The sequence below is a fragment of the Homo sapiens genome, chromosome 15, assembly GCF_000001405.40.
Source record: "Homo sapiens chromosome 15, GRCh38.p14 Primary Assembly".
Lineage (NCBI taxonomy): Eukaryota > Metazoa > Chordata > Mammalia > Primates > Hominidae > Homo > Homo sapiens.
The window spans coordinates 57,943,524-57,952,897 of NC_000015.10; the positions used below are offsets into that span (position 1 = coordinate 57,943,524).

General features: G+C 44.3%; 1 annotated feature.

The window, feature by feature from the left end:
* Positions 4,308–4,602: a silencer, noted in NCBI's record as "tiled region #1312; K562 Repressive non-DNase unmatched - State 22:ReprW". NCBI's record gives its function as "represses a minimal TATA promoter and a strong SV40 promoter by Sharpr-MPRA in K562 cells {active_cell/tissue: K562}" and the evidence as "EXISTENCE:reporter gene assay evidence [ECO:0000049][PMID:27701403]".

The window sequence follows — 9,374 nt, forward strand, 5'->3', positions numbered from 1 at the left end:
GTGTTATTTATTAGCTAAGGGTTAGGAGTATGTGGAAATGAAGGGTTGCTGGGACCATTAATAGAAGATCTTCATGGCCATTACTGACTCAAATGTCAGGAATGAAGGGCCTTTACTCTCTAGAATCCCCAGCTCCTTTTATGGGGCAGTCTTTCAGGTATGAAATCAGTCAACTTTGGAAAACTGTCTTTTTGTTTGAATTTTTGATGCTGCAAAGGACAGAGGGAGTAAGGAAAGAGGCAATACACAGGGCAAGGCTCGCATGTTCCCAGAGGGGCCAGCAGAGAGGCACATTTATCTTGACAGGCTCCCCTTCTGAGGCAGCACCCTGGGGGTCCCCAGAGCCATTCATCCAGCAACCCCAAGCCCCTGCGAGCAGGCTCTGGGCTTGGCAGAAGCCCTTCCTGGCATGGTTCCATGCCAGAAAAAGAATTCTGCTTTCCCCCTGCAGGAGGAGAGAGGGTCTGGAGGTGAATGGAGCCACAGCCCTCCAGTCCCAGAATGGCACAGGTCTTCAGCAAGATGACAACAGGTAACATAAGCTAGGCCTGTAGGACATGCCAAGCACAGAACTAAGAGCACTGCATACATGATGTGCTGTCATTTCCCAGAACCCAAAGCCTCAGCTCTCCATCTCTGAGATGAGGAGACCCTAGCGGGCCTCCCAATGCCTGTCTTGAGACCAGCTGTAGCACAAGCACTGGTGCTTTATGTTAAACATGTATGTGATGTATTTGGAAAGATACCAAGAAACAGATAATCATATTTGTTTCTGAGGACTGAGACACAAGGATAAGGCATTGGAAGGAAATCTTCCCATATATATGTACTTTTATTTACTTATTTATTTTAGAATTCTTAACCTAATGCATGCAGTTAGCAATTTTAAAATAACTAATTTACATTAAAAATAAGACGAACAACAAATAAAGATTTCTGGGCCTACTGCAGTCCATTTGAATCAGAATATTCAGAGAAGAAATGGGGCAGCCATTTTAAATCAGTTCTCCAAAGTGATTCTGAGGCCAGGTTCAAGAACCACTACCCTGAAGGACAACTATTCCCTCCCTGCCCAGGACCCCTGTATCTTACAGAAAAGAAAACTGAGCTGTGAGAGGAGCACTGACTAAGCCAAGTCATATAGTTGCTGAGAAACAGAATAGCAAGTAAAATTCAGGTATTCAATGCCAGATTTCCAAACTATGATAACGCTCACTCTAACCTCACTGCAGCCCCGAGCATCCTTTTATTTCAATCCTACTTCTTGCCCCAGGTCCTCTGCCTTTCAAACCCTGCTTTCTTCAAGCTAATCTGGTAAATGGAGTGATGATGTGTTTAGTCGGTACTAATGGGCCAATGTACTCTATTAAAAGACAATTCATGAAGCTTTCTGGAGCCATGTGCAATTAGCAACTGTGTTTTACTTCTGTAAAGTAATACAGGTGGTTCAGTAGGATAGCATTTCCCCAAAATTCTACCCCAGGAGGCAGAGGAGAAAAGGCACTGGACTTAAGTCCCGAGACCTGGATTTAAAGGTTTATCCTGTGGAAGTCATTTTGGCTCATTTTTTACATCTGTAAAGTGAGGATATTAGACTGAATAATCTGAAAGGTCCCCAGGTATGGTTTGAATGTGTCCCTCAAAGTTCATGTGTTGAAAATGGAATCCCCAAAGCAACAGTGTTGAGAAGTGAGATCTTTAAGAGGCAATTAAGTCTTGAGGGCTCTGCCCTCATGAATGCATTAATGTTATCATGGGAGTGGGTTTGTTGTAAAAGCAAGTTTAGCCCTCTCTTGCTGGCTTGCTCTTGGCCTCTCTTGCCCTTCTGCCTTCTGCCATGAGATGATGTGGCATGAAAGCCCTCACCAGATGCCAGTACCATGCCCTTGGACTTACCAGCCTTGAGAATAGTAAGCCAAATAAACTTCTATTGTTTGTAACTCACCAGTCTTTGGTATTCTGTTTATAGCAACACAAAATGGACTAAGACAAACATCAAAGGCCCCTTTTACCTCTCAAAATTCTATATATAATCCCTACCTAAATATTTCTTTTCTGTTTGAATCTATATTTTAAATGATAGGAAGATAGGATTGTCCTTTTGGAAAACAGTTCCTGGTAACACTGAAAATTTTGTAGCTCTGAGCACCGGGAATATGGTTTTAGCCATTTCAGAATTGGGTGGGGAACAAAAAGAACCATTCAGGGCAGTTTCAGTTTTGATCAGAAGAAAGAACAGTAGCAGTGACCAAACATAAGTTAAAGAAGAGAAAATAGCCTGTTAGAATTGGAGAGAACCCAACATGGAAAGCTGTATTTTAGCACGAACATGCCTGATCCCTCATGATTTCTGTTCCTGTAGAGGGAGGAAAGCAAGATATGTGTCAAAGAAAGGGATGGTCAATAAGAGATTCTCTATTTTTCATTTCCTTGCAGTCCCTACTATACAGACTGGGACAAGGAGCCTTGATTTAAGGTTTCTCTTCTACTAAAATGCATGAGAGACATATTACTTTAAGTCTTATCAGCCATATACCCTGAGTATATATGAATTTTTCAAATCTTTTTATGAGCAGGTTTAAAACATTTAAGGTGGTACAATATACATAACATTTAGCATTTTAACAGTTTTTCAGTGCACAGTTCTGTGGCATTTAGCACATTCAAACTGCTGTGACCGTCATCTATCTCCAGAACTTTTTCATCTTCCCCATGTGAAACTCCATATTCCTTAATAACACTAACATTTATTCCCTCTCCCACTCGCCCCTGGCTGCTGCCATTCTATTTCCTGTCTCTATGAATTTGACTACTCTAGGCACCTCATACAAGTGGCATCTTATATAAACGGAGCCTCATATATATAAGTGAAATTATATAATATTTGTCTTTTTGTGACAGCCTTGTTTCACGTAGCATGTCTTAAAAGTTCTTTCTTGTTGTTGCATGTGACAGGATTTCCTTCATTTTTAAGGCTGAAAAAATTTGTATGTTAATATGTTACATAGTATAATATATACATAATATACAATTGTGTATATATTACATATATAAAAACAATTGTGAGTGTGGTGAATGTGTGTGGGGTGTGTGTGGGGGGATATGTGTGGTGTGTGTGCGTGTGTGATGTGTGGGGTGTGTGGTTGTGTGTTGGTGTGTTTGTGTGGGGTGTGTGGGCGTGTGTGTGGGGTATGTGTTGTTTGTGTTGGGTGTGTGGGGGGATATGTGTATGTGGTGCATGTGTGGTGTGTGTGCACGTGTGAGGTGTGTGTGTGTGTGTGTGTGTCTGGTGTGTGTAGCTCTCAGCACCAAAAGCATGGTTTTAGCCATGTCAGCATTAGGTGGGTGGCCAAGGGGACCATTCAGAGAAATTTCAGTTTTGATCAGAAGAAAGAATAGCTTGAGATTCACTAAAAGAAAATGAATATACAAGAAATTATGCATATATGCAATTATACATATATATGCATACCATATTTTGTTTACTCATTCATTGATGGACACTTTTGGCTATCATGAACATGAGTGTACAAATACCTGTTCAAGTCCCAGCTATGAGCAGGTTTAGACAGGGATGAGAGGACCATATCTGGCAGGTTGGGGCACTGGGGACAAACTTGCCTCCTTCATGGTTGTACACAGCCTTCTCATGGAGCGAGGCCCCTGTGCTCATCACTTGAGATCATCTCACCCCTGATCCACTGTGAGTTGAGCCCCACATACCGGTGAGACTTCCCTGGCAGGCAGCTGTGGCCAACACCCCGCAGGCTTTCCTTTCCTCTCAGGAGGGCTGGGACCACACAATTTGGTGGCTCTGTGGAACACTTTTTCCTCACAAGCATTGTGCCTTCCTGCCTCCTCAGCAGAAGACCTGGATGGATGACTCAAACCCATGTAAATAAGCACATCTCCCAAAGTGTCGATGACCTTCAAAATAGGAAAGAATTGAATTGGAGGGTATGGGAACCTCTCTCCTGGAGTAGGGCTTTAAAGGTTACCAAAACATTTCTGAACAATGTGTTGAATAGGCAAGACTAAAAACTGTGGTTTAGTTTCCTGACAAGAATTCCTGACAGGCTTATTTATTACAGTCCTTGATATTGCTGAGGGTAAGTGGAAAAAAATGACAAGTGTTTCCAATATGTATGTGGCGTTTCGCATTTCTTGTTATCTTAGAGAAGAAAAGGGGGATAAAAAAGCCAAGTCAGAATCCTGGGTCATCACGCCCCAAGCTCAGACCTCAGGATTGGGTGGGTTTCCAGCGTGGGTTTATTTTCCTAGATTTTTAAAAGGTTATCAGTTGGTCTTGTGGCCCAGCCTGGTATCTAGTTTGCAAGAATAACAGTTTCTTGTGGGAATGAAACAGAACAAACAAGCAACAGAAGAATTGTTCTGAGCATTTTCCAGTTTTCTCTCTGCTGTCCTTTAGGCGGAGCTGACTTGAGTTCAGCCCCTGCTTGGCAGAGGGCTCCTGCTTTCAGCATCTGGCCAGGGCAGCTCTGCTCCTCCTGCAGCTTTGGGGAGAGGAGAGGCCTTTGCAGAATGTTGTTCTTACAGAGCCATTCTCATCACCCCCTGAGGACTGCTGTGGTTCCATTTAAATATTCAAACCAGGCAAGTCATTTCTCTCCCAGGCCAAAAGCCACTATGTTCCTCGAGCTTGGTGACCACGATAATAATAATAATAATCTTAATACAGCTAACATTTATTTAGCACGAATTGGCAAAGCTCTCCTCTAAGTTAGTATTTATTTGCCGGCTGCACCAATTTATCCATCGCCTGTTCTTGCTATCTCTTCATTTAAACGAGAGCCAGCCCAACATTTTCTGTGTCAAAAAAAAAATCTCTGGCTCTTGGTGATTCTGCAGGTGGAGCAGAGCTTACTGGGCACAGAAATGTAATTTTTAAATGGTCATTATCCTTCCATCATCCTGGCATTCCTAATTACTGGCTCCAGTCCCACCATCTGAGTCTACCTTAATGTAAGTGTCCTCCTGCCTGGCTTCCATATAGAAACGGATCCCAAGGGAATGTGAGATTTACAACCTCTTTGGGACTACAGCCTCCAGTAAATACTGATTTATTTATTCATTTTCTTTAATTGCTGTCATTTGTTTAAGCTCTTACAATGGGAGCTGTTAAGTACTTTATATGCATTCTTGTTCTACCCTCATGACAACAGTGTAGGTAGGTAATTTTATCGTCCCATTTTACAGGTGAGAAAATAGAGGATTTGGAAGGGTAATTAATTTTCCAACGACATACAGCTGGTAAGTGATGGAGCACTTTGGAATTATTTCCCTTTACCCGTTGGAGGAGGTCTTGATGTTACCAACAAGCTTCCCTTTCTGGAATCAGAGCATGTCAGATCAAAGCTTCAAAGACCAGACATGTGAGGGGTAGACACCCCCTTCACACACACACACACACCCCCATTTCCCAACGTTGGCCTTACAAGCCCCTGTCCCCACCCGCCTTGGCACACATAACTCAGGGCTGGAAGCAGACTTGTTGCAGGCTCTGAGAATGTTTGTGGGCATCACCCTCCCCAAGGGCCTCCAGGGAGCATGAACTAATTGTATTAACAAGTGGCATCTGGATTTTATTCCATTTTATACGAATCCTGTGTTGTTTATGAATGAACCTAACTCGGGAAATGGAGACTGAGGCCTCCACTGTTTAACAAACAGACCTTCCCCTTGGGTGTGCAAGCTCTGGCCAGCCAGCGAGCACTATAGGTTCTTGTTCCTTGCTACTCATCTACCCCCAGTGGTGGTCTTGAAAGCTGTCACTTTAAATTTCCAACCAAGAGAAACTGGAGAAAGGCACTACATTATTGGTTCATAAAATGGATGTAACTGCCTGGGATTAGAGAGAAAGAGGTCTTCACAGGGTCCTAGAATCCCCACATATGGCTGCAGGTGGGGTAGGAGGGGTCTCTTCTCTTTCCAGCTTAGGATTGCTTGAGTTAGTTTGATTTTATCCTGCCTAGACTGTAAAATAGGAAACCAGAGGTACCTTTCTGAAAAGTCACTGGGGAAACCATGTTGTAGAAGAAATTGGGCAACTCAACAGACTTGATAACATCTATTTCTTGAGGAGAAGGACAGGGACTGCTCTAGAGAAACAAAAAAAAAAAAAAAAAAAGGCAAGCCCAAAAGACCTTGAAACCATTAAGAGGTGTGCATGCTCCAGCAGGAACGGGGGCAGGCTGTGCTGGTTTCAGGTTCCTCCTTGCTACATAGATAAATGGCCAAAGGAAACATTATCCCAGCAGTTTCACATTAAAGGCTAAATGGCAAGATGGTCATCCTTTTATGCTGGCCAATAACCAAGTGAAAATTAGGCAGTGTACCTGTTTAGGAAGAGGGCTTCACGCCATTCCAGAGTGGACTTTCCCATGCTCTCACTCCCCGCTGGTCCCACGGATGAGCAGTTGCTGTATAAGACATTCTGGGTGGCACAGACAGCGTGGTCAGGGCTACGGCTCAGATTATCACTCTACAGAGGGTCTGAACAATGTGTTGAATGTACAGGAGACTGAAACTTGGAAGAAAGTCACAGCTGCATGCATCCCTCTGGCCCCTAGCTGGCTTGAGGTATTCAGATGAGTTCTGGCCTCCAGGCAAGGAAGCCCCACTGGAAACCCGTAGGAAACTATCCTAGAGTCAGGGTCTATATGAAGGCCTCAACGCTGGGTGAGAAGTGAATTCTGATGTCTTGCAGACTGATTAGCAAATGTCAAAGAGCAGACTGCTTTTGCTTTCTGTAGTTGTTTGGAGTTGCGTGTGTATATCATGTCTCAGACCAACTGAAGAAATATCATCCACCATGTTGCTTAATCCCCACACACCTCTGTGAAGCAGGTAGCACAGGAATGATCCTCTTGATCCTACAGAGGAGGAAGTGGAGGCCCGTGGAAGTTAAGACATACACCTTGTAAGTGATTGCTAAGAGACGCTGAGTGAGGACTTCTGATTACACTTCTCACCCTCTGATGCAACGTGCTGAAATTTCACTCTGCCACACCGCTAATCTGCTGACGCCCCAGGCAAAGTTGTCAGTCTGGATTACCCACTAAGCAGACCTGGGAATGGTACCACGTTACCCTTCCGTACCTCCAGTGTCTGTGCGTGGGAAGGAGGTAGAGTGAGATGGCAAGGGAACCTGCTGACTCTTGGTTATGAGTGACCTTAGACTGTGTGATTTACAAGGGTAGTAGCCATGTGTGGCTTGCTTTGTATCTCCAGCACCTGTGCCAGTGACTAGCAGAATAAACATTTGTGGAGGGAGGGAAGGAAGAAGGGAGAGAGGGAGGGTGGAAGGGAGGTTCATTTCTTAGGACCACCAGGTATGCAGTGTCAGCATTCCCTCATGAGGCAGCAGGGCCACAGAAGCAGCATGGTAAGACTGTGTCATATGTATTTTTCTAGCCCCATTCTGATTTCATTAGTTTCCCATCTTCATTTTTTTAAAACTCTAATTTTTAATTCATGGGACTTTGTTTTTATTTTTGTTCTTACCTTTTAAGCATTCTTGTGACCGATTTTAATATTTCTGAATTATTAGTCAACCAAAAGAAAAACTAAAAACAAATAAATGACTATATAAATACATATAAGTGGCAGTGGGCATTTCTGTTTTGGCTGCCCCTTCCCTCCTTCCCTGCCAAGAATGTTGCCAATACAGGACTAGCAAAGTCTGCATTGAGATTTTTTTCCCCTAGCCATCTTGTATTCCTCCTTTTCACACCTTTCTAAATCTACTCACTCTTTAACATGTATTCTGAGACCAGTTTCCTCCTGCCCCAGCTACTCTAAGCTCTCGTTTCTTTTAACTCATGAGGCCGTTATCAACCGTGAGCTCCTGCCCTCTCTATTTGAGTTCTGGGTGAGCAAGAGCATTGGGTGGAGAGCAAAAGAGAGCAGGCATTCCATATGTCCTGCCTGGTGGTGGGGGAGTCTGTGGGACGGCTCAGGATGAGGGCCTGCCACTGCAGGGGCTGTCCTCAGGCACGGGGGAGGCTACATGGCTCACAGCTTAGAGCAGGGTACTGCCATCACCCCTCCCAGCTAATGCACACCATCAGCTTCTACTTCATCAAGACAGAGATCAAAAGCCCCTAATGCACGGGCTCCACACACCACCCTCTACTTCTCAACCCCTTGCTGCCTGTGCTCCTTGACTTCTCTGCCTTGTTTCTGGGGTGTTAACACCTGTAGAGCTTCCCTCCTATTTCTCTGACTACAGCCTCCATTTCTTTTGCTGGGCTTTTTCTCCCTGGCCTTGGTTTTGGTTTTATTTTCACCCTCTCTGGATCTGCAGCCATCACTTTTATGTTCATGTGAGAATCTGGTCCACCTGAGCCAAGTCCGAATCTCCCATCTGCAATTGCCTGCTTGAGATTTCTATCTGGATGTCCCTTCATAACCCCACAATTCACGTGTCAAAAGCCTGAAGTCAAGATCTCTCCCCACAACTGCATTTCATGTTGTAGCTTCTTTGGCAGGGGCATTACCATTTTCCTACCTTCCCTGGTTAATAAACTTTTTCCATTCTATCATCATATTCATTCCTTAAGTTCCAGTAACTTCTCCATTGATTTGTTCCCTTCCTCTCCATCCCCCCTAGCATTATGCCATCCATAGTTTTATGGCAAACAAACTCTGTAATCAGTCTCTTTTCATCCGCTTTGCTCCAGACCAGTATACTCCAACCACTGCTTCCATTACACTCCAACTCAAAGCCCACGAGTGTCTCTGTTTTCTATTACATTACTAGGGAACAGCTCTGGCTGACCTAAGACCCTCTGTAGTCTGACTAGTTGCCAGCATGCAGTGCCTGCTCTTGCCAGCCCATCTCTTCACTGTCACATAAATATGCCGAGCTTGGCCTCTCCTCTCTGCCTTTGTAGGTTATTCATCAGAAATGTTTTCGCATGTCTATCTGACTCCAGATTCCTGCTATCTATACGTGCAACAATGGCACCTTTCTAAAAGACTTTCAAATGATTACTTCATGTCCAGGCCTTTCTCATTTTTTTCCTGATGGCTCAATGGACAGAACATGAGGTGGATTGTCAGGGAGTCCCGCATCTTATATTTCAGTTCCATCTGGTGCTGCAGGGGCTGCATTCTCCCATGCTCCTTCTGTTCCTCTAAAAAATAAGCTACTGGCAAACAGAGCAGTGAACCCCAGTCCACAGCAATGCTTCTTGTCCCCCAAGCGAGATCTGCTCTGGGGCTAATTCATTAGGTTTAGCTTTTGTCTCACTTGATCGGAACTTGGGTGGAGATTCCAAGGGCTGGAAGGAAAGGTGGGGAGCTGTGCGGTTCTAAAGGGTGGGAACCACTCCTCAAAAGCGCAACTCTGA